The sequence below is a fragment of the Homo sapiens genome, chromosome 17, assembly GCF_000001405.40.
Source record: "Homo sapiens chromosome 17, GRCh38.p14 Primary Assembly".
NCBI classification, from domain to species: Eukaryota; Metazoa; Chordata; class Mammalia; order Primates; family Hominidae; genus Homo; species Homo sapiens.
The window spans coordinates 18309637-18335487 of NC_000017.11; the positions used below are offsets into that span (position 1 = coordinate 18309637).

Below are 25851 nucleotides of genomic sequence, written 5' to 3' on the forward strand. Positions count from 1 at the left end.
GTCTCAAAAAACAAAAAACAAACAAAAAAACACATTCAAACAAAAACTTGTACATGAAAGTCTATAGAAGTTCTTTTTTTTTTTTTTTTTTGAGATGGAGTCTGGCTCTGTCGCCCAGGCTGGAGTCCAGTGGCGTGATCTCGGCTCACTGCAAGCTCCACCTCCCGGGTTCACACCATTCTCCTGCCTCAGCCTCCCGAGTAGCTGGGACTACAGGCACCTGCCACCACGCCCGGCTAATTTTTTTGTATTTTTAGTAGAGATGGGGTTTCACCGTGTTAGCCAGAATGTTCTCAATCTCCTGACCTCGTGATCCACCTGCCTCGGCCTCCCAAAGTGCTGGGATTACAGGTGTGAGCCACCACGCCCAGCGAATGTCTATAGAAGTTCTATTCACAATAGTCAAAAGATGAAAACAACCCAAATGTCCATCAACTGATGTATGGTAAAATGAAATATGATCTATCCATATGATAGAATATTATTCAGCCATAAAAAGGAATGAAGAGGCCAGGTGCAATGGCTCATGCCTGTAATTCCAGCACTTTGGGAGGCTGAGGTGGGCGGATCATGAGGTCAGGAGTTTGAGACCAGCCTGGCCAACATAGTGAAACCCTGTCTCTACTAAAAATACAAAAAATTAGCTGGGCGTGGTGGTGGGTGCCTGTAATCCCAGCTACTTGGGAGGCTGAGGCAGGAGAATCGCTTGAACCTGGGAGGCGGTGGTTACAATGAGCCGAGATCTCATCACTGCACTCCAGCCTGAGCGACAGTGAGAGAGACTCCTTCTCAAAAACCAAAAAAAAGGAATGAAGAACTGATATTAATACATGGTACAACATGGATGGACTTCAAGATTATGTTAAGTGAAAGAAACCTGACACAAAAGAGCATGTAAGATATGGGTCCACTTATAGGAAATGCCCAGAACAGGCAAATCCATGGGGAAAGAAGGCAGATTCGTGGTTGTGAGGGGCTGAGGAGAGGGTAAGGGGAGTGACTGCTTAATGGATATGAGGCTTCCTCTTGGGGTGAAAAAAAACCTTCTGGAACTAGATAATGATGATGGTGGCACATTTAGTGGACAAAATTCCACTGAACTATATACTTCAAAATGATTAAAATGGTCAATTTTCTGTGCATTTTACCACTCAACCTACATGGCTCTCTAAGATTCTTATGATCTGCACTCAACTGCTGCTCTTGCTTAACTCATCGGTGTCTCTTCCCACCACACCACACCCCTAACTTCTCACTGTTTCTGAATATGCCAAGCAGTTTCAAGCCACTAGGTTGTTCTTTACAGTTTCTACTGCCTGGTAAAACTTTCAGGCTCAGCTCAAACATGCATTCAACAACTATGAATTTTTTTTTTTTTTTTTGAGACAGAGTCTCACTCTGTTGCCCAGGCTGGAGTGCAGTGGCACAATCTCGGCTCACTGCAAGCTCCACCTCCCGGGTTCATGCCATTCTGCTGCCTCAGCCTCCCGAGTAGCTGGGACTACAGGCGTCTGCCAGCATGCCCGGCTAATTTTTTGTATTTTTAGTAGAGACAGGGTTTCACCGTGTTAGCCAGGATGGTCTCAATCTCTTGACCTCATGATCCGCCCACCTCAGCCTCCCAGAGTGCTGGGATTACAGGTATGAGCCACCATGCCTGGCCTAATTTTTTTTTGAGATGGAGTCTCACTCTGTCGCCCAGGCTGTAATGTAATGGCGCAATCTAGGCTCACTGCAAGCTCCACTTCCCGGGTTGAAGCGATTCTCCTGCCTCAGCCTCGTGAGTAGCTGGGATTACAGGACCCCGCCACCACACCTGGCTAATTTTTGTATTTTTAGTAGAGATGGGGTTTTGCCATGTTGGCCAGGCTGGTCTTGAACTCACGACCTCAGGTGGTCTGCCCGCTTGAGCCTCCCCAACTGCTGGGATTACAGGCATGAGCCGCTGCGCTCAGCCCAAGTATTAATATTTATTGAAAGTTTCCTGCATTCCAGACACCATATTAGGCGTTAGGACATAGCAATTAACAAAATATAATCACTGTCCTTTGGAGTTTAGAGTCCAAGGAGAGGCAGTGACAAAAATCAAATAAATGATCGCACATCCCATTATTTAACTGTAACTAGTAGATGCCTTTCAAGTAGAATAGAGTGCTATGACAGCATGTCAGTAAGGGTCTCTGACCTAGTGTGGGGGAACAGGTGGTGAGGGAAGGATTCCTTGAAGATGAGACATTTCAGCAGCCTCTCTCCTCTAGCCGCCCCAGATGCCAAAAGGAAAGATGGCCAAGGGGAAGAAGTGGCCCTGGCCCCTGTTGTCATGGAGCAGCAGTAGGCCAAAAAGGTGGTAAATCCCATTTGAGAAAAGCCCTAATAATTTTGGCATTGGATATCTAGCCTAAGGGCCTCACCCACTTTGTCAAATAGTCCCGCTATAAATGGCTGCTGCGGCAGAGCCGCTGTACTCTATAAGTGGCTGATGTGCCACCTGGGATTGACCAGTTCACCCAGGCCTCAGACTACCAAACTTAAGCTACTCAATTGCTTAAGCTGGCCCACAGTACAGACAAGAGACAGAGCAAGGGATGAGATCGAAACCGTTGGCCCAGGCTGAGAAGAAAGCTTCCAGCAAAGGGGATGTCGCTACTAAGAGACCACCTACACTTCGAGCAGGGGTTGACACCGTCACCAACTTGGTAGAGAGCATGAAGGGTCAGCTGGTGGTGGATCCCATTGAGCTGGTTGTCTTCCTGCCTGTGCTGTGTCCTAAGATGGGGATTCTCTACTGCACCGTCAAGACTGTGGTGTCAAATTCCACAGGAAGACCTGCACCACTGTCACCTTCACAAAGGTTAACTTTCTGGTAGACAAAGGAGCTCTGGCTAAGCTGGTGGGACAAATTACAACGACATATGAGATCTGCTGTCACTGGGGAGGCAATGCCCTGGGTCCAAAATCTGTAGCTTGCATTACCAACCTAGAAAAGGCAAAGGCTAAAGAATTTGCCACTAAACTGGGTTAAGTACACACTGTTGTGTTTTCTGTACATAAAAATAAAAATTCTCTTTCCAAGAAAAGTCTTTCCTTTTGGCTGGAACTGCCATCTTGGAGTAATTTGCCAAAATGACGAACACAAAGGAAAAGAGGACGAGGCATCTGATGTATGTTCTCCTGGCCTTATAGAAAACATGGAGTTCGAGCTGGGCACGGTGGCTCACGCCTGTAACCCTAACACTTTGGGAGGCTAAGGCGGGTGGCTCACCTGAAGTCAGGAGTTCAAGACCATCCTGGCCAACACAGTGAAACTACTAAAAATACAAAAAATTAGCTGGGCATGGTGACAGGCACCTGTAATCCCAGCTACTAGGGAGGCTGAGGCAGGAGAATCGCTTGAACCCGGGAGGCGGAGGTTGCAGTGAGCTGAGATCACACCATTGCACTCCAGGCTGGGCAACAAGAGCAAAGCTCCATCTCAAAACAAACAAACAAAACAAAACAAAAATATGGAGTTTCTCTGGCCACAGACACCAGAATCTACAATGAAGGTGATATTGAGGACTTCGTGAGAATGCATACTGTTCAAAAGGGAATGACCCACAAATGTTACATGGCAGAACTGGAAAAGTCTATGTTACCCAGCATGCTGTTGGCACTGCTGCGAACAAGGGCTAGATTCTTGCCCAAAGAATTAATGTTTCTATTGAGCATATTAAGCACTCTAAGAACCAAGATCTTTCCTGAAATGTGTGAAGGAAAATGATCAAAAAAGAAGCAAGTCAAAGAGAAAGGGTTCACCTGAAGTGCCAGCCTGTTCCATTGAGGGAAGTACACTTTGTGAGAACCAATGGAAAAGAGCCTGAGCCGCTGGAACCTATTCCCTATGGATTCATGGTATGATAGGGTAAAAATAGATAAATACAAGACCTCTGGATTGCTTAAAAAAAAAAAAAAAAAAGGGAGAGAGAGAGAATGAATTCAGCAGAGCCTTGAAGGATAAGAAGTTAGGCGTAGGAGAACCATTTTTCAATGTCTACTTCATTGTCTAGAAGTAGACAAACCTTGGGGCTGGTCACCAGGACTTCTAGCACTGGAAACAGGTAAAGCTGTCAGCCAGCATTCACACAACCCTGGCTCCACTCCCACTATCCTTGATCTGGAAACAGGTCTTAGGACCCTGGGAACTAAAGAAAAATGAGCAGGGAACTTCCACCCATGCTCTTAGAAAAGTTCTCCAGAAAACCATTTCAGGATCTACTTTTGTTATCTGAGATATTTTCCTGGACAGCTCTTTATGTCTCCCGTGGCACCTCCTTTATGAAACTTTTTCTTATCCTCCCTTGCGTTTGTGCCTCCCGTGTGTGTAGAACACATTCTTACCACTTACCTCTCTCAGAATCAGTTCATTCGGGTAGGAACAGGGCTGACTTCAAATCTAATCCCCAAACCTTACCGTGTTGCTGTAAGTGTGCACTGTGAGGCTGGAAAGTCACAAGGGCTGTAGAATGCAGTGGCTGTGGCACAGGATGGGGAGGGCTAGGTTGGCTGGGGAACGATCGGGCAGGGCTTGAATGCCAAGTTAAGGGAATCTGGTCAGTAGTTCCCAAATGAATTTCTGAATCTCTAGGGAAAAACAGTAAAATACACACTTCCCCAGCCTCACACAAGACCCGAAGGGCAGCCAGCGCCCGAGGCGATTCCGAGAATCAGACAAGTTTGGGAACCTGCTAAGCGCAAGCAAAACAAAAGGTTTCCACGCAAATGAGTGAGATGTATCAACTACGTTTTAAAATGCACTCCAGTCCGAGAGCAGACAGGAGGCCACTGCAATAATCCAGACGAGGGGCAGTGAGGCCTGAGAAATGGGAGATAATCGCCTTCATCTCGATTCTTGGCGCCCACCACGCTGTCCCGCTCGGTGGGCCTCCCTTAAGGCACGCAGCTGATCGGAACGCGCTTTCTTACCCGCCTCATGCGACCGTTTGACAGCAGGTCGGCGATCCCCTTGGCCGCGTCGTTTTTTTCGGCCACACAGAGGACTTTCCGCACGCCTCGGAGGGCCATCTCCATGGCGGCGCGGGAAAAGGCACGGTCTTCGGGCCGTCGCAGCCACCGGAGCGCGTAGCGGGCGACAGGAAAGATCATCCTCAGACCTCGCGCCCGGAGCCGCTCCCCGGCTGCCGGCGCATCCTGGGGAAGCCAGAGATGAGGCTCAAATGGCGCCCACCGAAAGGGAACCAGAGCCTCGCTTCGGTCACGTCCCCACCAGCCTGCTGGCCTTTGGAGCTTCAGTCACTGAGCCTTTCCCGTGCCGCAGCCGCCGCCTCAGCACCGAATCCAGTATCTTGGCGTGGAACTTCCGCCCGCCTTCTCCAGCTACTTCCGCCAGGCGCGCGCCCCACAGCGACCTGGAACTACAACTCCCAGACTGTCCCGCGCCCCTCGTCCAAGCACGTTCCCCTCTGCCACCTTCCCGCCGCCCCCGTCTCACTCCGCCCCTCTTTCCCCTCCTTCCCGGCAGTGGTTGGTTAATCGGACTCCTTCTTGCGGGGAGCCGCCAGACACTCCCATCCAAGGCCTCTTTCTCATGACTTTTTAATCTCCTGCTCGGAAGTCTACGAGGACGCTTCCGGGTCACGCGGCGCGGACACCAGGAGTCATGTGATGTCAAGATGGCGGCGCCGCGGTAGCAGGATCCGGGTTGTGGCGTCCTAGGAGCCGCGACGGTTTCTGCCCTCGGGCAGTGAGGGGCAGCAGCGCTTGGCTGACCCCTGCGGCGTCCCGTAGCCTCGCGTTAAGCCTTGTTCAGAGCGGGGGCTTTTGCTGTCGCAGTGGGTTCCGGAGAGTGCAGGTGATTTCGCAGCAGGTTTCTTGTGCTGGCCGCGCTCGCCGGACGAAGAAGAGAAGGGCAGTTGGGCCTGCGGCCTTGGCGTTCATGAGGCCTCAGAGAGCTCCGGAGGAGCTACAACTGTGAGGGGGCTGCTAGAGTTCTTCTCCTCGGGTGTGTGAGAAGCAGCCTAGGACCCCGGGTTCGGGGAGTCGCAAAGAAGGCCGTAAGGGCTTCACTTCCTTCTCCGGAGGCCTGCCTTCTGCGCGTCGATTAACACCGCATTCTTTCCCACTTCCTCTCAATGTTTTCTTCATATATCTGGAAATATGATCAGCGCCCCTGACGTAGTGGCCTTCACCAAAGAGGAAGAGTATGAAGAAGAGCCTTACAATGAGCCGGCCCTGCCTGAGGAGTACTCGGTGCCGCTCTTCCCCTTCGCCAGTCAGGGTGCTAACCCCTGGTCAAAACTGTCCGGGGCCAAGTTTTCGAGGGACTTCATTCTTATTTCCGAGTTCTCTGAGCAGGTGGGACCCCAACCCTTACTGACCATCCCCAATGACACCAAAGTTTTTGGCACTTTTGATCTCAATTACTTCTCCCTGCGTATCATGTCTGTGGATTACCAGGCTTCCTTCGTGGGCCATCCTCCTGGATCTGCCTACCCCAAGCTGAACTTCGTGGAGGACTCCAAGGTGGTGCTGGGAGATTCTAAGGAGGGCGCCTTTGCATACGTGCACCACCTTACCCTATACGACCTGGAGGCCCGTGGCTTCGTGAGGCCGTTTTGCATGGCTTATATCTCTGCAGACCAGCATAAAATCATGCAGCAGTTCCAGGAGCTTTCAGCCGAATTTTCCAGAGCTTCTGAGTGCTTGAAGACTGGCAACAGGAAGGCATTTGCTGGGGAACTTGAAAAAAAGCTGAAAGACTTGGATTACACCAGGACAGTGCTACACACAGAAACGGAGATCCAGAAGAAAGCCAACGACAAAGGCTTTTACTCATCTCAGGCAATTGAGAAAGCCAATGAACTGGCCAGTGTGGAGAAGTCCATCATTGAACATCAAGACCTGCTGAAGCAGATCCGCTCATACCCTCATCGGAAGTTGAAGGGGCATGATTTGTGTCCTGGTGAGATGGAGCACATCCAGGATCAGGCCAGCCAGGCATCCACTACCTCTAACCCTGATGAGTCTGCCGACACAGACCTTTACACCTGCAGACCAGCCTACACCCCAAAACTTATCAAAGCAAAGTCCACCAAGTGTTTTGACAAGAAGTTGAAGACCTTGGAGGAGCTCTGTGACACTGAATATTTCACCCAGACCCTGGCTCAGCTCAGCCACATTGAACACATGTTCAGAGGAGACCTGTGTTACCTCCTGACCAGTCAGATTGATAGAGCACTTCTAAAACAACAGCATATAACAAACTTTCTCTTTGAAGACTTTGTGGAGGTCGATGACAGGATGGTGGAGAAACAAGAAAGCATACCCTCTAAGCCCAGTCAAGACAGGCCGCCTTCCAGTTCTCTAGAAGAATGCCCAATTCCTAAAGTGTTAATTAGTGTTGGTTCTTACAAGTCCAGTGTGGAGTCTGTGTTGATCAAGATGGAGCAGGAACTGGGAGATGAGGAGTACAAGGAAGTGGAAGTGACTGAGTTGAGCAGTTTCGACCCCCAGGAAAACTTGGACTACCTGGATATGGATATGAAAGGGAGTATCAGCAGTGGTGAAAGTATTGAAGTTTTGGGCACGGAGAAATCCACCTCCGTGCTTTCTAAATCTGACAGCCAGGCAAGCCTCACAGTACCATTGAGCCCCCAGGTGGTCCGGAGCAAAGCAGTCAGCCACAGGACCATCAGCGAGGACAGTATTGAAGTCCTCAGTACCTGCCCCTCTGAGGCCCTCATCCCTGATGACTTTAAGGCCAGCTACCCAAGTGCCATTAATGAAGAAGAATCATATCCAGATGGCAATGAAGGAGCCATCCGCTTCCAGGCAAGCATCAGTCCTCCAGAACTGGGTGAGACAGAGGAAGGCAGCATAGAAAACACCCCATCACAAATAGACTCCTCCTGCTGTATTGGGAAGGAGAGCGATGGTCAGTTGGTGCTGCCCTCCACTCCAGCCCACACACACTCTGACGAGGATGGGGTGGTGAGCAGCCCCCCACAGCGCCACAGGCAGAAGGACCAGGGGTTCCGTGTAGACTTTTCAGTGGAAAATGCCAACCCTTCTTCCCGAGACAACAGTTGTGAAGGGTTTCCCGCTTATGAGCTGGACCCGAGCCACCTGCTGGCTAGCCGGGACATCAGTAAGACCAGCCTGGACAACTACTCAGACACCACCAGCTACGTGAGCAGTGTAGCGTCCACCAGCTCAGACAGGATCCCCTCTGCTTATCCTGCTGGCCTGTCTTCCGATAGGCATAAAAAGAGGGCTGGCCAGAACGCCTTAAAATTCATCCGCCAGTACCCCTTTGCCCACCCAGCCATCTACTCCCTGCTCAGTGGGAGGACACTTGTGGTCCTGGGGGAAGATGAGGCCATAGTCAGGAAACTCGTGACTGCACTGGCTATCTTTGTCCCCAGCTATGGCTGCTACGCTAAGCCCGTGAAACATTGGGCCTCCTCCCCTTTGCACATTATGGATTTTCAGAAGTGGAAGCTTATTGGCTTGCAGAGGTAACTGGTTCCAGGTGGTGGGGAAGGGCCTTGGCCAGATAGGGATGAGGTATATTGGTGTGGTGGAGCCAGAATCAGGAAGCCTGGCTTCTAGACAGGGCCCAGTTCCTACCACTGTGTTACTTTTGGCAAGTCATCCCCCTCTCTGGTTTCTATTTCCTTGTCTGTCATGTGAGGGGGTTGCAGTTCCTAGGTGGTTGCCAATCCCCATCTGTCCCCGAGCTGTGTCAGCATTATTAGGGAAAGTTTTTATTTTTATTTTTATTTTTTTGCAACGAAGTCTCGCTCTTGTACCCCAGGCTGGAGTGCAATGGCGCGATCTTGGCTCACTGCAATCTCCGCCTCCCGGGTTCAAGCAATTCTCTTGCCTCACTGTCCTGAGTAGCTGGGATTACAGGCGCCTGCCACCACACCCGGCTAACTTTTCTATTTTTAGTAGAGACAGGGTTTCACCATGTTGGCCAGGCTGGTCTGGAACTCCTGACCTTAGGTGGTCTGCCCACCTCAGCCTCCCAAAGTGCTGGGATTACAGGTGTGAGCCACCGTGCCTGGCCGGAAAGTTTTTAAAATCATGGATTCCTGAGTCACAAGCCCTCGAGGTTCTGATTCGGTTGGTGTGAGGTAAGACATGGAATTTATCTGTCGCCATTGCCAGCCCGACTGCAGGGAGCATCTCTCTATAAAAGCAAAAGGCCCATCAGAAGGGACAGATGACTCCGGGGGAAAGGGTTAGGCTGCTGTCCCTGTAAGTGCTCTTTCAACCTTCAGAGCACGTGCAGATGTTGGGTGCTGGGAGCATCTGCCTCCAGCATCCTACACAGGCATGAGGTGCAGCGGGCAGGTGTGGGGAGCCCTGCACCCTGGAGGGTCCCCTGCGGGGCCAAACGGGAATGGGATGGGCTACAGCTCACCCAAAGAATTCCTGGGGGAGGTGAGCAGTAGACGCCACCTGAGGGTATGATAAGATGAAACTGTTGTGGGCTGTGGCAGTTAGCGGGAGCAGTGGGTGGTCTGGGTCAAGTCCTGGTGTGCCACCACTCGCTGTCTGGATTCGGACCAACCATCTCATTCAGTCACCCAATCATGTTGAACACCTCTGAAGGGCTCCCGGGGCCCACCTGAGAGCCATCGGAAGGGTCCACGTTTAGTGCATGTCCAAAAAAACACAGCACAGTGCAGTGCTTGGCCCTGAGAAGCACTCAGAGGGTGGAACCGGCACCGACACAGGCAGGCAGACTGGGGCCTACCTGAGGCCCAGCTTTAAAAATCACGAGCAGGAGAGATGTCTTCGGTGGTTGTGACCTTCCTATCCTCGGAGGTGTTGCGCTGCAGAGGCTCTGCACTCTGAGCACCACGGCCCAGAAGTGTGCCTCCTCACTCAGGCCCACTGCTCACATGATGGACTCTCTTTCAGGACTCTCACCTCCGAACACCAGTCTTGCTGGCCCTTGATTTTTTTCACTCTGCCTGGAAATGCTTGTAGTTGGGTCAGCCATCTGTGGGGATAAGAGATGGCTAAACAACCAAGCTGGTATCCTGTCATTTGCGGGTTTTTTTGTTTTGTGTGTTTTTTGTTGTTGTTGTTGTTGGAGACAGAGTCTTGCTCTGTTGCCCAGGCTGGAGTGCAGTGATGTGATCTCAGCCCACTGCAGCCTCTGCTTCCTAGGCTCAGGTTATTCTCGTGCCTCAGCCTCTCCAGTAGCTGGGATTATAGGCGTGCGCCATCATGCCAGGCTAATTTTTGTATCTTTAGTAGAGACAGGGTTTCACCATGTTGGCCAGGCTGGTCTCAAATGATCGGCCCACCTCAGCCTTCCGAAGTACTGGGATTATAGGCGTGAGCCCGGCCCTGCTGTCATTTTAAGTGAACACCAGGGGTCATCCTATTGCTTACTAAGCAGCAGTCACAAGCCCAGACCGAAAAGCAGAGCACAGTTCTGCCTGGAGAAAGTGCTAGCCTAGCGTGTGTCAGAGGCCCTGGGTTGAGTCCTGGCTTGACCACTTGCTAGCTAGGTGACCTTGCACAAGCTGCCGCTTTACCCAGTCCTCTGTGTCCTCATTGGTGGAGAGGTGTCCTCCTGCGGCGGGCATGGTAAGTGCAATGTGAGGCTGCAGTTGGGGTGCCGTGCGCTTGGGGGCTGGAGAGCTGAGGCTTGTCCCTTCCCGTGTCATCTGGCCTCCTGAGGAGGAGCTTTATGGAAACAGAAGTGGAGGAACAGTTAGAATAGCCAGCTTCTTCCAAAAGAAGTGCCACCATTGGGGCAGGTGTCAGCTGCATCAGGGGATGCTGGGCCTGGGAACAGGTATCCCAGCAGAGACGGAGGGGCAAAAAGGTGGGAGGTGAGGCCTGGGTGCCCTGTGGCGGCAGCACCTGTGGAGCTGGATGTGCGGAGCTTGGGAGGTGTTTGACTCTGGCCAGCCCCACTTTAGGGAGGTGAGGGTGAAGGCGTTAGAGAGCTGAGAAGGTCCCGGAACACAGGGGCCATGCAGCATGGGTTGAGGAGAGCGTCTCACTGCCCTCATGAGCTTTCTTAGCTGTCAGCCACCTGCAGGCCCCAGTTCCTCCATGCCTGTGGGATGCATGTGGTCCATAGCCCAGTGCTGTCCCTATGGTCAGGATGCATGCAGTATGCATGGCCTGTCTCAGCTGTCCCATCTCTGTGACCTTGCTTTTGCCGTGGTCTGCCACACCCTCCTCAGTCCCTAGAGCCCACGCTGCTTCTGAGGGCCAGCTCTGAGGCAACTCCACGAATCCCCCAGGTCTTCCCAACTACAGCCTCTCCCAGGGAGAATGAGACCTTGTCTCCCTTCACTTCACTGTACTTGTGCACATTTCTTTTTTTCTCAATCAGACTGAGCTCATGCAGGACAAGAGTTCTAGGTCATTCTTCATTACAGTGTTAGCTCCCAGGTCAATGTTGGGATGTTATAGATGCTCTGTAAATGATTGTTAAATATACAAGAAGATAAAACCCAGGAAGGAAAAAGTACTGTGAGAGTACCTTGGTCCCAAGTCACCGTCAGTCCTTCTTACACCATACCTGTCTGACGTAAACCCTAAATGTCTGGGCCCTACAGGGCAGTCCCTGCTGCTCTGGGGAAGCTGCTTCAGGAGGGTGTTTAAGGAACCGCTCCCCTCACTGAGTGAACACTGGCTTTTCCTGGCTCTGATGTGCCAGGCATTGGGGGCATGAGACCAGATCAGGTGCAGTTCTGGGACCCTAGAATCTTGGAGCTGCTTGTCCAGTGGGGAGAAGCCAATGAACAAACAGCAGTCACCCCACTGGTCAGTGCTAGGCTAAAAGTAGTGATGGCGATGACAGCAGCGCCTACCGAGGGCCAGCATTGTCCTAAGCACAACTCATTTTGTCTCCACAGCGACCCCATGAGGGATGTAATAGTAGTAACTGGCCTGTACAGTGGCTCATGCCTGTAATCCCAAATCTTTGGGAGGCCAAGGCAGGAGGATCACTTGAGCTCAGCAGTTCAAGACCAGCCTGGGAAACATAGCAAACTTCCATCTCTACAAAAAATTATCTGGGTGTGGTGGCATACGCCTATAGTACCAAATACTTGGGAGGCCAAGGTGGGAGGATTCCTTGAGCCCAGGAGATGAAGGCTGCAGTGAGTCATGATCGTGCTACTGCACTCCAGCCTGCGCAACAGAGCAAGACCCTGTCTCTAAATAAATAAAAACAGTAGGAATGTTATCTCCATCTTATAGGTGAGGCTCAGAGAGGTTAATGAATTTGGCCAAGGTCACAGCAGGAAAGCAGGAGAGGATCAGGGAAGGCTGAATATGCTTTAAATTAAGCTAAGTACAAGAGAGAGAGGTTATTTCAGGCAGAAAGAAGAGGTTTTTTTGTTTGTTTTGTTTTTTAAGACAGAGTCTCGCTCTGTTGCCCAGGCTAGAGTGCAGTGGCACGATTTTGGCTCACTGCAAGCTCTGCCTCCTGGGTTCACAGCATTCTCCTGCCTCAGCCGCCCAAGTAGCTGGGACTACAGGCACCTGCCACCACACCCGGCTAATTTTTTGTATTTTTAGTAGAGACAGGGTTTCACCGTGTTAGCCAGGATGGTCTCGATCTCCTGACCTCACGATGCGCCTGCCTCGGCCTCCCAAAGTGCTGGGATTACAGGTGTGAGCCATTGCACCTGGCCTGAACAAAGAGGTTTGTAATTCTAAGGCCCCACTGAAAGCTTGCCATGGCTCCAAAAAAGAGTCCATTCAGCAGGAATCGGACCACAAAGGGCTTTGTGGGCCACCCAGCGTGTTTTTGACCTTGGTCATAAGAGTGGTGAGGAGCCCTTTGAAGATTACAATGATCAGATTTGTCTTCCAGGAAGAGCCAGTGCATGCTGGCTAGGTGGATGCTGGCCTGGGGACAGGAGGCCTCACCTCCCAAGCTTCTGCCTCCACTTTCCCGGCCCTTGCCCTTCCTCCTGACCTTGGCCTGTCTGTTTCAGAGTGGCCTCCCCTGCCGGTGCCGGTACCCTCCATGCCCTGAGCCGCTACAGCCGCTACACGAGCATCCTGGACCTTGACAACAAAACCCTGCGCTGCCCCCTTTACAGAGGCACCCTGGTGCCCCGCCTGGCAGACCACCGCACACAGATCAAGCGGGGCAGCACCTACTACCTGCATGTCCAGAGCATGCTCACCCAGCTCTGCTCCAAGGCCTTCCTCTACACCTTCTGCCACCACCTGCACCTGCCTACCCACGACAAGGAGACAGAGGAGCTGGTAGCCAGCCGCCAGATGAGCTTCCTAAAGCTGACCCTGGGTCTGGTGAATGAGGATGTTAGGGTGGTCCAGTACCTGGCTGAGCTGCTGAAGCTGCACTACATGCAGGAATCTCCAGGGACCAGCCACCCCATGCTCAGGTTTGACTATGTCCCCAGCTTTTTGTATAAAATCTGAGGTCGGTCCCAGACACTGTGACCAAGACCTGTGACTCAGGGTATGGGGAGGGGAGGGGTTGGCATGACCAAACAGTTGCCTGAGCTGGACTGTTTAAGTTTCTGGTGTCTGGCAGCATGGTTCCCACGTGGCTCCTAGTAGTTTTTAAGTTGGACATGGGCAGAAGTGGAGCCTGGCTCCCTCTAAAGGCGTCTGGAGGGATGGTGACAGCTACATTTGGCTCCCTGGTGAAGAGTGGCCCCTGGATATGGAGGGGGCCTTGGTTTTCTGAGGACTGGCAGCCAGGGCAGAAGGGAAGCCACCAGTCCCTTGGTGGGGCAGGGTGAGGGCAGGAAGGCCAAAGCCTGATGGGAGGAGCACACTGGCTGTATTCAGCATTGCCGGACACTTGAGTGGCAAAATGAACGAGGGTGACAGCCAGGTAACTGTTGTGGTTTGGTGGAAAACAGGAGGGCAGAACACCCATCGCCTCCTTCAGACCCAGATGCAGCCCTTTATTTGCTTCCTGGAGCCCACTGTCCTAGGGGAGGCCCTGGACCAGCCAGTGGGGGTGAGAAAGGCTGCCACCCTCTGGGTCGTGGGAAACATGCGACCTTGGCCTCAGGGCCACAGAGCGTGAGCAGCACCCTGTCCGCTGTCCTCGCCACCTTTACCTGGGAGAGAAGTGCCTGTGAGCGGGCCTTGGGACTCACTCCCCATACTCTTTCACCAGGAACGAGCAGAGTGTTCACTAGTCCTAGTGTGAAGCGGGCACAAGTGACCAAAGCCAATGGTGAGGACCACCTTGGGGGCTGGAGAGCACAGCAGGCAGAGCAGGGCTGAGGCGCCATGAGGCCATCACCACCATGCAAGGGAGGAGCAGCCAGCAGCTCTCCTGGGTGGCCCACTGGCTCCTGCCGGCCAGAGCGCATGAGCACTGACCTTCCTCGTGGGGAAGGTCTGCAGACCCGTGTGAACATGGCAGAGGCCACACTCCAGCTCCCACCCACATAAACCTTTGCAACCACTTCACTACCTCTCACTGGGTCTCGTGGGCTTGGGACAGCAACGGTTCTGTTTAGTCAGCTGGTGCAGGTGGTTGGCCCAGCCGATGAGAACTCAAATAGCACGGATTTCCTGGATGAGCTACCACGTGGCGCTCTTCAGGTTCTGCCTCTGGGAGGCTGTGTGCACCTCAGTCACCACAGCTCACGGCCGTCCCCAGTTGAGTCCCCCTTCTGAGGACAAGTTTGAAACTGGGAAGGAGACACCCCCTGGTTCCGCCAGCACCTATCCCACTGATAGTGATCCCCTGGCCTCCCCGAGCCTCCTTAGGCAATGGCCACTGGTTTGTAGACAGAGAGTTTCTTGCAGCCTTGAAAATTTTATTCCCTAAGTGGGGACAGCTCTGGTATTACTGCTTCTTTAATTTGTTCCACAAAAATTATGCTGAAATGGACCTGAATCAGCCCTGGGTGTGCTTCTGTTGGCGCCTGCTGCTGAGGCCCGGCCTGCCCATCGGCCTGTAGTACGCCATCGAGGTCATCATGGAGCCAGCCAGCTTCTCTTCTCATCAAGGAGGCAGAGACCCCTGGTGGAAGCCAAGAGTGACCGAAGAGGGCTTGCATCACGTCACTCCAGTGGTTCCCTCCTTGTCCAAGTCCTCGTTTTAAGGGCATGGCCCGTTGGCTCCAGCCGTTGGCTTCTGTTCAGGGTCCTTGCTCCCATCAGAGGTGTTTGATTTTGCTCCTGGGGCTGCGATGGAGAACCTTTTGTGGCAGATGGTGCTGCCTACATCTCATTGGTTCTCTGTACCTGTGCCCGTTGCGCATGTTCACAGACAGGAGAGTCGCCAGCAATACCTTGGCAGCCTTTAAATGTGAAACGTCTGTTACTTGCGCTGGAGGCAGAGGCTGTGCAGGGAGCCTGCTTCTAATCGTGGGCTCCCTTATCTGTTACGGTTCCCTCCCCTCCTGTTCTAGATGCTGATTCGTTTTCTCACTGGCTGGTTAATTGCTGTCTACTTAGGCCTCCAAGGCCATAACTGTGCAACATTTTATCTGAGAAGGAAGGAAGGTCAGAAAGTGATCACTGGCACCACCACTGTGGCATTCCTGTCACACCAACACAGAAATTCACAGCTCATACTGTTCTCACCTGGGAAACTTGGGAAGGGCTGATGAGTTTGGGGCAGATCCTGAATTGCAGCCACACTTGGCCTTCTAGAAGCTGAAGTTGTGCCCTCAAGTGGTCCTAAGTAGAAGTCCACTTGAGGTATTTGCTGGCACACACCCTCAAGGGTGGTTCAGAAGGTCCTGAAACCTAAGGCAAAAGGCTGCTGGGGCATGAACAGAACAGACCGTCTCAGGGGCAGCCATGTAAGTGGCAAGCAGGGCTGGTCTCCCTCAAGGTGGTTCTTCATTAAGTAAAGATGGCTTCGTGACTAGTGTTTAGCTCCCAGATTTATATTTGGGTTAAAAACTAACTTTTCAATGTGGCAGTTTCAAAGGATTACTTGATGCAAAGTATGTTTCCTTTCAAAGGGATCTTGACGTGGTACCAGGACTGAGTCATGATTTGGGCAGAGGCAGTTAACACTGGGAAGCCCTGCCCCTCCCTATGCCCCCTTCACTCCGGGGAACTGAAACCTACTCTGAGTCTCACATCTCTAAACCTCAGTGCTGAGACCTATGCAGTGGGACTAATCTCATCAAGAATTTTCAGTTGAGGCCGGGCGCAGTGGCTCACGCCTGTAATCCCAACACTTTGGGAGGCCGAGGTGGGCGGATCACCTGAGGTCAGGAGTTGGAGACCAGCCTGGCCAACATGGTGAAACCCCATCTCTACTAAAAATACAAAGAAAGTTAGCCAGGTCTGGTGGTGCGTGCCTGTAATCCCACTTACTCGGGAGGCTGAGGCAGGAGAATCACTTGAACCCAGGAGGCAGAGGTTACAGTGAGCCGAGATCGCGCCACTGCACTCCACCCTGGGCAACAAGAGCGAAAACTGTCTCAAAAAAAAAAAATTTTTCATTTGAGGTATTCTTCCAGTAGAAGGTTAGTAAGTTTTTAATGAAACCATTAAAAATTACACTTCCCAGAAAATAGATGACATCAGTGCCCCTTGCTACTTTCTCAGTCCTCACTATTGCTTTGAGGGCCCAGGTACTGAAACTGGTTGTCTTGAGTTTTGTGTCAGCTTTTTCTCCAGTCCATTATCCCCCTCCCTTGCTTCTGAAGCAGTCTAGGTTAAACTAGCCAGGCAGGTAGTTGTGGACTGGTGATTTTCAAAAGCCCCACTTTAGAGATCAGGCCACAGCTTTTTATATCGCACAGGACACATCAGCCTGAGCTGCTGCCTCATGCCTGTTTCCCCAGGAACCTCACTCCTTTGGTAGAACCTTGGGATTTTAGAAATTGTGGCTTTTCCATAACTCATTTACTCCAACAGTTGAAGTTACACACATTGCTCCCAAATTTGGAAATAGACCACAGTACCTTACCTTTCATTCCCCATCTGGCCTTTACCTTCTTTGCTTCAGTGGTTGAAAACAGTTGCCATATTCAAAGTATAGTAGATTTCAACCTCACACAAATGACAAGTCCCATTTTACAATCCTAGGAAGGCCCACCAATTTCATTTCACGCGCCAGGGCGGCTGCAGTTGGAGGCCGAGGGCAGCCCTCTGCTCACTGAATGTCTTGCATGTGCTGACTGCTGCCCGCAGTGCTGAACATGCCCCACCGCCCAGGCCCAGCACTGCTTGTTGGGTCAGCATCTAGTGCTGCTGTCACATCTTTGTCTGCACAGCCAGTAGGATTGCCTCAGCCAGGGGGTTTATCAGAAGGTGTGCAAGGCCTTTGGGGGAACTGAGCCCCTATAGTGGGCAGTCTCCTTTACCTTCCCACCTCCCTGAAAAGCACAGAAGACAGTGCCTTGGTTTGTGTTTTGAAGCAAACAAGTCAGCTTTCTGGCTTTGCCCCAAAACTGTGATGGAACATAATAAAACTGGAGATATGGTTTTTAACACTGCAAAAAGGAAAAAGCATCAAGTTTCTACTTCTGGCTGGAAAGCAAAACCAATCTCAGCTGACAAGGCTGGGCAAACTAAGTTTTCCTGAGCCCATTTTCCTTTGAGCCCTGACCTAGCCTGGCCTTACCTCATTAAGGTTTGGTTAAAGCAGTGGAAAGGAGGAGGAGGCAGGGGTGGATGGGGGTGTGGGGAGGGGATGAGCACTCTGCAGCCGATTAATCTGTTGGTAGGGGCCCAGCTTCTTGGGAGTGCTTATTCAGCCCAAGAGTGGAGGCTGTTTACAGCGAGCCCTGGAGATGGCAGCTTGTCTCCAGCTGGGGAGGGGTCAGGCCCCTAAATTGAAGACCACTTTGGTAGCAGAACTGTAGGGACTGGTGAGTCAACTCACAGATTCTGCAGCAGCTGCTCCACCCACAATAAAGCAAACGCCGACAGGCTAGACCCCAGATTGCAGGGGCTGCCACCTACAAGGTGGGACCACAGGCTGCCTCACCGGGATTGTCTGCCACTAAATAGCTGGAGTCACAGATTGAGATAAATGCCACCTTCAAGGTTGCAGTGAAAAGCATAATCCTATGTGATGAATTTATATGTGTTATTTTTTAAAAAGCTATTTTATTACTGCATGTTCCCGTCCCGTCTTGTGAATGTGAGTCCCCGCCACCACGTGAGGTGCAGTCGTTGCAGCGGCTGGTGCAGGAGTGCAGCTGGCGCGTGTGTGATAGCATCTCGTAGGTGTTGCTGCACAAGAGTTAACCAGAGTCAATGCCAAACACATAGTATGAGAAGTGTACTTTTTAAGAAATTAATTTATTTGAGTTCAAATATTTTTGAAATATAAAAATTGGTTGTATTTTTTAAAGCTATAATTCTTGTAGACATTCTGTGGTTAAAAATTTGATTGTGCTTATTAAAAATGGTCATCTATGTTTTGCACTTCAGCTACGTGAAAATAAAATTTCTTTGGGAAGGTGACATTTGGCTTCCTGATTACGGGAGGGAGTTGGTTATCTCAGGTGGAGCAGGAAAGCCTGGTTGATTCTCACACCAGGATGGGACTGGGACTTCCCAGGATGGAGGGAGGAGGCCATTTCTACACCATACTTTGAGCTACTGACAGCAAAACCCTCCCACCATACTGGGTGCATCTTGTTTACTCTTGACTAACATACACTTCTGATTTACAGCAGAAGCCTCAGAAGCTAATTCAGTTCTCCTTTGGCATGCCACTGGATAACAAGATAGTGAGGGGGCAGTGTGTACAAGCTGTGGACATGGGCATTTCCTCTCTGTTGCAGCAAGGCGGAGGAAAGCCCAGGGAGAGTAAAACGCTACAATCTTTCTAACAGCTTTGCCCTACACCACCATCTAAATGATTATGACCAAGTGGCGACATAGTATTTTATTTTCCTAGAATTATGTCCAGCTGTGAGAAAGCCAGGTTCAAATTTAAATCCTTTAATAACCTGTCCCAGAATTACTAACAATGAGACTTAAACAAATTTTGATTTGTGAAGAAAACATGAAAAAAGTCCAAAAGAAACCCCCTCAAAGGGCCCGAGTGTCAACAGTTCCCCTTTGGAGCAGCTCATCCATCTCTCAGGTGGGGGTCCTCCGGCAGGCAGCTTCCTCTGTGGCGCCAGGTGGGTCCAGAGTGGGCCCGCTCCTTTAGAAGTCAGGCAGGCCAGGCAGAGGGAAGAGAGAGGCGAAGCTCTCAACCTCCTCCCGGAGAGCCTGCACGGCCGCCTGGTACTTATCCCCTGCCAGTCTCTCCTTGAACTCTTTCAGGGTGGCTCTGACACCAGTGTCGCTCTGGATCTGCAGGGTCAGCTCTATCCCTGTGCCACAAGACACAAATGAGTCACCCCACACTACACACCAAAGGGGGTACAATGGCTGGGGGCCGAGGCACAAATGTCAGAATGTCCCCCAGCTGGGGAGTGTGGCAGGGCACAAGGTCTCCATGCTTACCTCAATTACTCTGAGATGCACCCACCCTTGGACAGATGTCCTGGGCAGCCCAAATTTATAACCCTCTCAGACAAGGTGATTTACATGTGTTTTTTGCTGTCTCCCACCCCAACACTCAGCCTTGGTGCAGAATTGTCTTTCAGTGGCAGGGTCTCAGCTACTCATCACAATCAGAAACTAAATACACACAATAAGATGTGGCAACTTCCAAACTTTTATCCTTACCTCTGTGAATAAAGTGGGCTACTTTTTGGAAGTCTTTTTCCAAAAGTCCACGGGACGTCAGTGCTGGGGTCCCCAGCCGCAGTCCACTGGGCCGCAGAGCGCTTCTGTCACCTACAAGATAAACGGGGCTCTGTCCCTAAGTCACATTGTCACCACTGTGATGGTGGTGCATTTAAAAAGGGACATGTGGGCAAAAGAGAACTGGCCTGAGGATACTGGCTGTCCCTAGCAAGGAGTACAACTGATTCAGAAACTAAAGTAGAACCCAAGGCACAAGGAGGCACAACCACGTTTGGCCACTCTGACTTAATTACTAGTACACAAAGTGGTCTGATGTGCCCCTTGCTCCTAAAAATGAGGGTAACATCTGTCTGGGTCTGAGATGCGTCATCAATATTTTGTTAACAACCCACAGAGAAATGCAGCCTCTGGATTCCGGAGGCCCTGACCTCCCTCATCTGATGAATGTACCACCTCCAACAGCTCTACATCAGTCTTTTTGCTCCCTGGCAGGGTCAGGGCCAAGTACAAAGGCACAGCCAAGAGACAGCCAAGGTATGGTCCCTGCCCCCGCTCCATTTTTTGTTTTTGTTTTTGTTTTTTTGAGACGGAGTCTCACTGTCGCCTAAGCTGGAGTGCAGTGGCGCAGTCTCGGCTCAATGCAGCCTCTGCCTCCTGGGTTCAAGCAATTCTTCTGCCTCAGCCTCCTGAGTAGCTGGGACCGTGGTGTGTGCCACCACAGCATTTTTAGTAGAGACAGGGTTTCACCGCGTTAGCCTTCTCAATCTCCTGACCTCGTGATCCACCCACCTCGGCCTCCCAAAGTGCTGGGATTACAGGTGTGAACCACTGCACCTGGCCCAGTTTTTTTTTTTTTAGACAGAGTCTCATTCTGTTGCTAAGGCTGGAGTGCAGTGGTACAATCTCCACTCACTGCAACCTCTGCCTCCCGGGTTCAAGCGACTCTTCTGCCTCAGCCTTCCAAGTAGCTGGGATTACGGGCATGCACCACCATGCCCAGCTAATTCTTCTATTTTTAGTAGAGACAGGATTTCACCATTTTGGCCAGGCTGGTCTCGAATTCCTGACCTCAAGTGATCCGCCTGCCTCGGCCTCCCAAAGTGCCGGGATTACAGGCGTGAGCCACCGTGCCCAGCCCCCACTACAGTTTTTATGTGAGGTCTGTCCCCGGAGCCAATATATTCATCAGCTACAACTTTGGCCAGAAGAAATGCAGATGGGAGAGGAGTGAAGGAGAAGGCAAGGATGATTCTCACCTGGACAGGTGTTCTTGTTGCAGGCAATAGAACAGGCTTCTAGCACCTTCTCAGCCCTTCCACCATCTGTGCCTTTGGAACGGAGATCCACAAGGATCAAATGGTTGTCAGAACCACCTGGAAACAAAGTTGGACATGTAGAAATGCAGGCGAATTCTATGCCGTGAAGGAATCTCTGAGAAACGAAGGCGAGGATGAAGGCAGTCAAAGCAGATGAGGTCAGGAAGGTGAGCACCCCCACCACATGGCCTGGGATTCTAATCCCCACGAGAGATGCCCGTGCCTAAGAATGTGAAAGGAAGGACAGAGCACTTTTGAAAGGGGTAACTGATCATACAGCAGAGGGCCTGACACTCCCATGGGGAAGGGACAGCTTCCTCAGGCTGCTCCTGGCTTGTTTTCTCTGACAAGTTGCTTGGGCAATTCCCTAACATTGATGGTAAAGGCTCCCCTGAAGGCAGCATGAATATTGGGCAGCAGTTCAATTTACTTTGGGGGGTAAGGGGCATGTTCACAGAGCACATTAGGTGCCAGACACTGTAGCCTGTGGTAGGTTTTTCCCGGATCCTGTGAGGCTGATGGTATTATCAAAGTGGTAAGGTGACAACAGCAAGGCTAACAGAGTTTTCTGGACCTGGCCCGAGGTCATACAGGAGGATCCTTCCACTTTGAACCTTCATTAAGCTGGGGTAGTGCCTTGGGTGCTGACAGCACTGGGGCCTCTGCTTCTGAGCTGTGTTGCGGGGATCCCTTTCAAGATGCGGGTGAGCTAGGGCTCCAGCTTGGCTTTGCAGCCCCCCAGCTGTGCCCACCCACTTGCCGTGTGGCTTTAGGCAGGCAGCTCAACATTGTGAAACCTCAGATGCCCATTTGTAACAAAAAGACCAATAATTCACAGGGCTGTCATGAAGTTTAAGTAAGATACTGGACATAGTGCTTCTCATAGCACCAGGCACCAAAGAGGGCATTTGCAAGCATTATCTGTCTCAGCCATGTGCATCGGGTCCTCAGATGGCAGAGTGACAATGACACAGTCACCAGGGAGAGGGCAGGCCCATGCCATGAGATGCCCATGGTGACAGGGACTATGGCCTAAACCCTCACAACTCCAAGGGTGGCTCCCAGACCAGCATCACCCAAGGCCTGGTCAGAATCTGCATTGCACCAACAGCCCCAGGGGTGGTGTGCACATTGAAGTTTAAGAAACAGGGACCTAAAGCAGTGGTCCCCAACCTTTTTGGCACCAGGAACTGGTTATGTGGAAGACAGTTTTTTCACGGATGGCATCGGGGGATGGTTTTGGGATGAAACTTCCACCTCAGATCATCGGGCATTAGATTCTCATAAGGATGCAGGTATAATCAGAAGGAAAAAAAAGATAGTTTCTTGAAAGTGTCTAGGCCCAACCTAGATCCCTCACATGTGCAGTTCAAACCAGCGTTCAGCTCCTCTGAGAATCTAATGCTGCCACTGATCTGACAGGAGGCGGAGCTCAGGTGGCAATGCTCTCGGCCCAGCTCACTTCCTGCTGTGCGGCCAGGTTCCTAACAGACCACAAACCAGTACTAGTCCGTGGCCCGGAGGTTGGGGACTCCTGAGCTAAAGCACCCTGAAGTTCACAGTCTGCACGAGGACTTCTTGAGCTTTATTATTTGAAGACATGGAGGATGAAGGGAGAACAGAAAGTAAGTGAAGTAGAACATAAAAGAGGGTACGGCTGGTACTGCTGAGGAGACAGCACTGGCCCGGCCTTCCCAGGCACTGCCGCACATGCAGGATTGGGTGGGAGCCCCACTCCTTAGACCAGGAGGCCTGTAATCCCTCCCCAATCCTTAGATCAGAGGGCCTGTAATCCCTGTAAAGGGCAAAGGACACGGTGCAGAGAGTGGGCACTCAGGTCTACACACAGCAGGACCCATATTCCTGGACCACACCACTGCTAGCACAATCGGCAGTCTTGTGGGACTAGGTATAAAGTCGCCCTTCCTCCGGAGGACTGAGTATGCTGCCTGCCAAAAAAATGCGTTCTCCGTGGAAAGCTGCAGTGACTGTGAGGTGGATGGCACCCCAGAGTGGGGCCCTGACCTGGGAAGTCCATCTCATTCACAGCCCATCAGCTCCAGAATGTACAGATCCAAGCAAACATGCCTAAAGCAAGCCAACTCCCCAGGAATATGCAGGAAACTGGGAGGGGAGAGCCCCTGCACCCCCAGCTCAGCGGGGTGAGAGAAGACACTCCCCTGGCACAGTGCAAGGCATCACCACACAGTCCTGGTGCCACCTACCAGGTGTGTGACCACTACAGCCCAACCTCTCAGTTGAGCCTCAGGTCATCCTCCTGCAAAGCTGTTCTGAGGACAAGCAGTCCTTATGCTGGTGACCAATGGCAACCACTATTCCCATCATCTGTGGCTCACCCAAGGGGGCGGCTGGCTGGTCTGAGGCAGGGGGAGGCTTTCCAGTTGGAGGCGAGGCTGACCTCCTCCCAAGGTGGGCCCATCATTGCAGCTGCAGCAGCAGAGCCTGGGCCACATCCTGGTTGCACAAACTGAGAAGCAAGCCTTAATACAACCACAAGAACAGGCCTGCTGAACACCATCTGTGTCTCTACCTGTGACTATTTTGTAGCCCAGCTCCGTCAGGGCCTCAGACAGAGCCCTGCAGTTGGCCACCACCTGGTGTTGATAAACTTTAAATTCCAGAGTCATAGCTTGCTTCAGTGCCACAGCAACCCCTGGACAAGAAGAGACAATGGGTCAGGAGGCTAGGATAGAATCATACACAGATGATGAGTCAAACAACATTCCTGTTTTTACTCAAGCTTCCTTGCTTTTCAATGTCACCCCTTGCTTTTGCGTTGGATTATCTTTTCCTCCAAAATGATATATTTTTAAAAATTTTTTATTATTTATTATTTTTATTTTTTTTGAGATGGAGTTTCACTCTTGTTGCCCAGGCTGGAGTGCAGTGGTGTGATCTCGGTTCACTGCAACCTCTGCCTCCCAGGTTCAAGTGATTCTTCTGCTTCGGCATCCCGAACAGCTGGGACTACAGGCACATGCCACCATGTCCAGCTAATTTTTGTTGGTATTTTTAGTAGAGACAGGGTTTCACTATATTGGCCAGGCTGGTCTTGAACTCCTGACCTCAAGTGATCCGCCTGCCTTGGCCTCCCCAAGTGCTGGGATTACAGGCATGAGCACCATGCCCAGCTAAAAAAATTTTTTATTTTTATATTTTTTGAGACAGGGTCTCACTCCCATTGCCCAGGCTGGAGTACAGTGGCGTGATCACAGTTCACTGCAGCCTTGATGTTCAGGGCTCAGATGATCCTCCCATCTCAGTCTCCCGAGTAGGTGGGACTACAGGTGCATCCTACCACACCTGGCTAATTTTTTTTGAGAGATGGAGTCTCGCTCTGTCGCTGAGGCTGGAGTGCAGTGGTGCAATCTCGGCTCACTGCAACCTCCGCCTCCCGGGTTCAAGCAATTCTCCTGCCTCAGCTTCCCAAGTAGCTGGGACTACAGGCACGTGCCACCACATCCAGCTAATTTTTGTATTTTTTAGTAGAGACAGGGTTTCACTGTATGTTGGCCAGGCTGTTCTGGAACTCCTGACCTCAAGTGATCTGTCCATCTCGGCCTCCCAAAGTGCTGGGACTACAGGCGTGAGCCACTGCGCCTGGCCACGCCTGGCTAATTTTTTATGTTTTTGGTAAGAGACGGGCTTTCTTCATGTTGGCCAGGCTGGTCTCAAACTCCTGGGCTCAAGTGACCCACCCACCTCAGCCTCCCAAAGTGCTGGGATTATAGGCATGAGCCACCGCGCCCAGCTGATATGCTTCTCTCTGAGGAACTGCTGTTGAGGTAACCTTTCCCTAAGCATGGAAGTTCTGTGCTAACATTACCATACCAAAGCTGTTAAGCAAGATGGATTTTACATCCTTTTTAATCTTGATGTGTGAAAACGATTACTTAGCAGGCCTAAGAGCCGATGCTCTGATGCCAGATTATGCAGCTCTCTAAGGTCAGAGCGCAGGTAGGAGGTGCAGCCTTCGTCCTACCCTGCACCATTCAGACTTATCTGGTATCTCACATTCAATCCTGAGGGCTGCTTCAAGGGACACAGAGAATGGAGGATAAGGAGAACCCACGGGCCTGCATCCCGCACAGAGCCTCCAATCAATACTTGTGAAAACAACTGGAAAGGGCGTCCAGAGCAGCTGGGGATGGGGTGATCCCTGCATCCCAGAGTTAAAGCAGCTGTGGGTGCCAAGTGTGTAGGTGTGATGGGAGAACATGAGAACACACCCGGGACCCCAGCTCCTTCCACCCCTTATGCCTAATATCTCCCAATCGCTGCTGTCCCCAGGTTCCTCTCTAGAAGTGCTTGTGCGTCTCCTGAGAAGCTACACCTTCATCCTGAGCCCCTTAGCGGGAATGAGTGCTACCAATGTCCTTGTTCCATGAAGGCAGCGGGATAACTCTTGAGTCATCACAAATGTCCTAAGCTACTTGTACAAAGAGACAAAGAGCAAGTCAATGAGAACCTGCTGGGCAGGCATGGAATCTGACTCAGGAGTCACTGGCGTGGCACTGGTGCAGGGTGTGAGGATCAGACACAGGGTCCTCCACTGCCACAGGCCAGGCCCATCAAGGGCAAGGGGACTCATCCTGCAGGGTCTGGACCCCAATCTCTCTCACCTGTGCTTTGCCCTCTCCTAACTGTCAGATTCCTTCCCTAAGAGGGTGCCATGTACTTTACAAAACTCGGCCTGACCCACAGGTTTGCCTCTGGGTGGCCGTACACGTGGAGTGGATGCCATTCCCTACTGTCCCTACCTTAGGCCAGTCTCAACCATGCCCTACTCTGTGTTAGCATCTCCTGCACAGAGACAGCCCTCCAGCTTTTTCCCCAGCGTGGAAGTCCTGGC

At 51.6% G+C, this 25851-nt stretch overlaps 3 protein-coding genes and 2 pseudogenes across 13 annotated transcripts in view, besides 14 other annotated features; 3 read left to right on the forward strand and 2 right to left on the reverse strand.

The window, feature by feature from the left end:
- Positions 1 to 5358, reverse strand: part of TOP3A (DNA topoisomerase III alpha) — a 43567-nt gene extending 38209 nt beyond the window's left edge. For all 3 annotated transcript variants that reach the window (NM_001320759.2, NM_004618.5, XM_047436635.1), the window contains exon 1: positions 4963 to 5358. Coding sequence is in view for 2 of the 3 variants with exons in the window: in NM_004618.5 (NP_004609.1) it covers positions 4963 to 5142 (180 nt within the window). In the remaining variant the exon portion in view is untranslated. The remainder of the gene's footprint in view (positions 1 to 4962) is intronic.
- On the forward strand, positions 2246 to 3057 carry RPL7AP65 (ribosomal protein L7a pseudogene 65; annotated as a pseudogene).
- On the forward strand, positions 3509 to 3895 carry RPL21P121 (ribosomal protein L21 pseudogene 121; annotated as a pseudogene).
- Positions 4407 to 4930: an enhancer, noted in NCBI's record as "H3K27ac hESC enhancer chr17:18217357-18217880 (GRCh37/hg19 assembly coordinates)". NCBI's record gives its function as "activates a minimal SCP1, AML or CMV promoter by ChIP-STARR-seq in primed H9 embryonic stem cells {active_cell/tissue: H9 hESC(primed)}" and the evidence as "EXISTENCE:reporter gene assay evidence [ECO:0000049][PMID:30033119]".
- Positions 4407 to 4967: a biological region, named in NCBI's record as "H3K27ac hESC enhancer GRCh37_chr17:18217357-18217880".
- Positions 4878 to 4967: an enhancer, noted in NCBI's record as "active region_11835". NCBI's record gives its function as "activates an Ori minimal core promoter by ATAC-STARR-seq in GM12878 lymphoblastoid cells {active_cell/tissue: GM12878}" and the evidence as "EXISTENCE:reporter gene assay evidence [ECO:0000049][PMID:35858748]".
- Positions 4978 to 5327: an enhancer, noted in NCBI's record as "active region_11836". NCBI's record gives its function as "activates an Ori minimal core promoter by ATAC-STARR-seq in GM12878 lymphoblastoid cells {active_cell/tissue: GM12878}" and the evidence as "EXISTENCE:reporter gene assay evidence [ECO:0000049][PMID:35858748]".
- Positions 5455 to 5978: an enhancer, noted in NCBI's record as "H3K27ac hESC enhancer chr17:18218405-18218928 (GRCh37/hg19 assembly coordinates)". NCBI's record gives its function as "activates a minimal SCP1, AML or CMV promoter by ChIP-STARR-seq in naive H9 embryonic stem cells {active_cell/tissue: H9 hESC(naive)}" and the evidence as "EXISTENCE:reporter gene assay evidence [ECO:0000049][PMID:30033119]".
- Positions 5478 to 5527: a silencer, noted in NCBI's record as "silent region_8274". NCBI's record gives its function as "represses an Ori minimal core promoter by ATAC-STARR-seq in GM12878 lymphoblastoid cells {active_cell/tissue: GM12878}" and the evidence as "EXISTENCE:reporter gene assay evidence [ECO:0000049][PMID:35858748]".
- Positions 5657 to 18420, forward strand: SMCR8 (SMCR8-C9orf72 complex subunit). Its single transcript, NM_144775.3, has 2 exons — positions 5657 to 8513; positions 12981 to 18420. The coding sequence occupies exons 1-2, from the start codon at positions 6154 to 6156 to the stop codon at positions 13432 to 13434; spliced, it is 2814 nt and encodes a 937-aa protein (NP_658988.2). The 5' UTR covers positions 5657 to 6153; the 3' UTR covers positions 13435 to 18420.
- Positions 5668 to 5717: an enhancer, noted in NCBI's record as "active region_11837". NCBI's record gives its function as "activates an Ori minimal core promoter by ATAC-STARR-seq in GM12878 lymphoblastoid cells {active_cell/tissue: GM12878}" and the evidence as "EXISTENCE:reporter gene assay evidence [ECO:0000049][PMID:35858748]".
- Positions 11853 to 12045: a silencer, noted in NCBI's record as "fragment chr17:18224803-18224995 (GRCh37/hg19 assembly coordinates)". NCBI's record gives its function as "represses an EF-1alpha promoter that drives an FKBP-Casp9 reporter gene in an ReSE screen in phorbol 12-myristate 13-acetate-treated (for megakaryocytic differentiation) K562 erythroleukemia cells {active_cell/tissue: K562(+PMA)}" and the evidence as "EXISTENCE:reporter gene assay evidence [ECO:0000049][PMID:32094911]".
- Positions 12557 to 13058: an enhancer, noted in NCBI's record as "H3K4me1 hESC enhancer chr17:18225507-18226008 (GRCh37/hg19 assembly coordinates)". NCBI's record gives its function as "activates a minimal SCP1, AML or CMV promoter by ChIP-STARR-seq in primed H9 embryonic stem cells {active_cell/tissue: H9 hESC(primed)}" and the evidence as "EXISTENCE:reporter gene assay evidence [ECO:0000049][PMID:30033119]".
- Positions 13059 to 13558: an enhancer, noted in NCBI's record as "H3K4me1 hESC enhancer chr17:18226009-18226508 (GRCh37/hg19 assembly coordinates)". NCBI's record gives its function as "activates a minimal SCP1, AML or CMV promoter by ChIP-STARR-seq in primed H9 embryonic stem cells {active_cell/tissue: H9 hESC(primed)}" and the evidence as "EXISTENCE:reporter gene assay evidence [ECO:0000049][PMID:30033119]".
- Positions 16088 to 16197: a silencer, noted in NCBI's record as "silent region_8275". NCBI's record gives its function as "represses an Ori minimal core promoter by ATAC-STARR-seq in GM12878 lymphoblastoid cells {active_cell/tissue: GM12878}" and the evidence as "EXISTENCE:reporter gene assay evidence [ECO:0000049][PMID:35858748]".
- The window catches only part of SHMT1 (serine hydroxymethyltransferase 1), a 35678-nt gene continuing 28063 nt past the window's right edge, over positions 18237 to 25851 (reverse strand). For 7 of the 9 annotated variants that reach the window (NM_001281786.2, NM_148918.3, NM_004169.5 and 4 more), the window contains 4 exons: positions 23530 to 23652; positions 20919 to 21035; positions 19642 to 19752; positions 18237 to 19283 (listed from right to left, as the gene is read on the reverse strand). In NM_001281786.2, coding sequence (NP_001268715.1) covers positions 19114 to 19283; positions 19642 to 19752; positions 20919 to 21035; positions 23530 to 23652 — 521 coding nt within the window. In that variant the 3' untranslated portion in view covers positions 18237 to 19113. The remainder of the gene's footprint in view (positions 19284 to 19641; positions 19753 to 20918; positions 21036 to 23529; positions 23653 to 25851) is intronic. The other 2 variants (XM_011523992.4, XM_024450887.2) reach the window with 1 other exon arrangement.
- Positions 20761 to 21261: an enhancer, noted in NCBI's record as "H3K4me1 hESC enhancer chr17:18233711-18234211 (GRCh37/hg19 assembly coordinates)". NCBI's record gives its function as "activates a minimal SCP1, AML or CMV promoter by ChIP-STARR-seq in naive H9 embryonic stem cells {active_cell/tissue: H9 hESC(naive)}" and the evidence as "EXISTENCE:reporter gene assay evidence [ECO:0000049][PMID:30033119]".
- Positions 22070 to 22876: an enhancer, noted in NCBI's record as "H3K4me1 hESC enhancer chr17:18235020-18235826 (GRCh37/hg19 assembly coordinates)". NCBI's record gives its function as "activates a minimal SCP1, AML or CMV promoter by ChIP-STARR-seq in primed H9 embryonic stem cells {active_cell/tissue: H9 hESC(primed)}" and the evidence as "EXISTENCE:reporter gene assay evidence [ECO:0000049][PMID:30033119]".
- Positions 22877 to 23681: an enhancer, noted in NCBI's record as "H3K4me1 hESC enhancer chr17:18235827-18236631 (GRCh37/hg19 assembly coordinates)". NCBI's record gives its function as "activates a minimal SCP1, AML or CMV promoter by ChIP-STARR-seq in primed H9 embryonic stem cells {active_cell/tissue: H9 hESC(primed)}" and the evidence as "EXISTENCE:reporter gene assay evidence [ECO:0000049][PMID:30033119]".

What these genes read in the sequence shown, in the direction of transcription:
- SMCR8 (NM_144775.3), top strand. Translation starts at nt 6,154, where the DNA reads ATGATCAGCGCCCCTGACGTAGTGGCCTTCACCAAAGAGGAAGAGTAT. An exon ending in AAGCTTATTGGCTTGCAGAG is followed by an intron (nt 8,514 to 12,980) that starts GTAACTGGTTCC and finishes TGTCTGTTTCAG; the next exon opens with AGTGGCCTCCCCTGCCGGTG.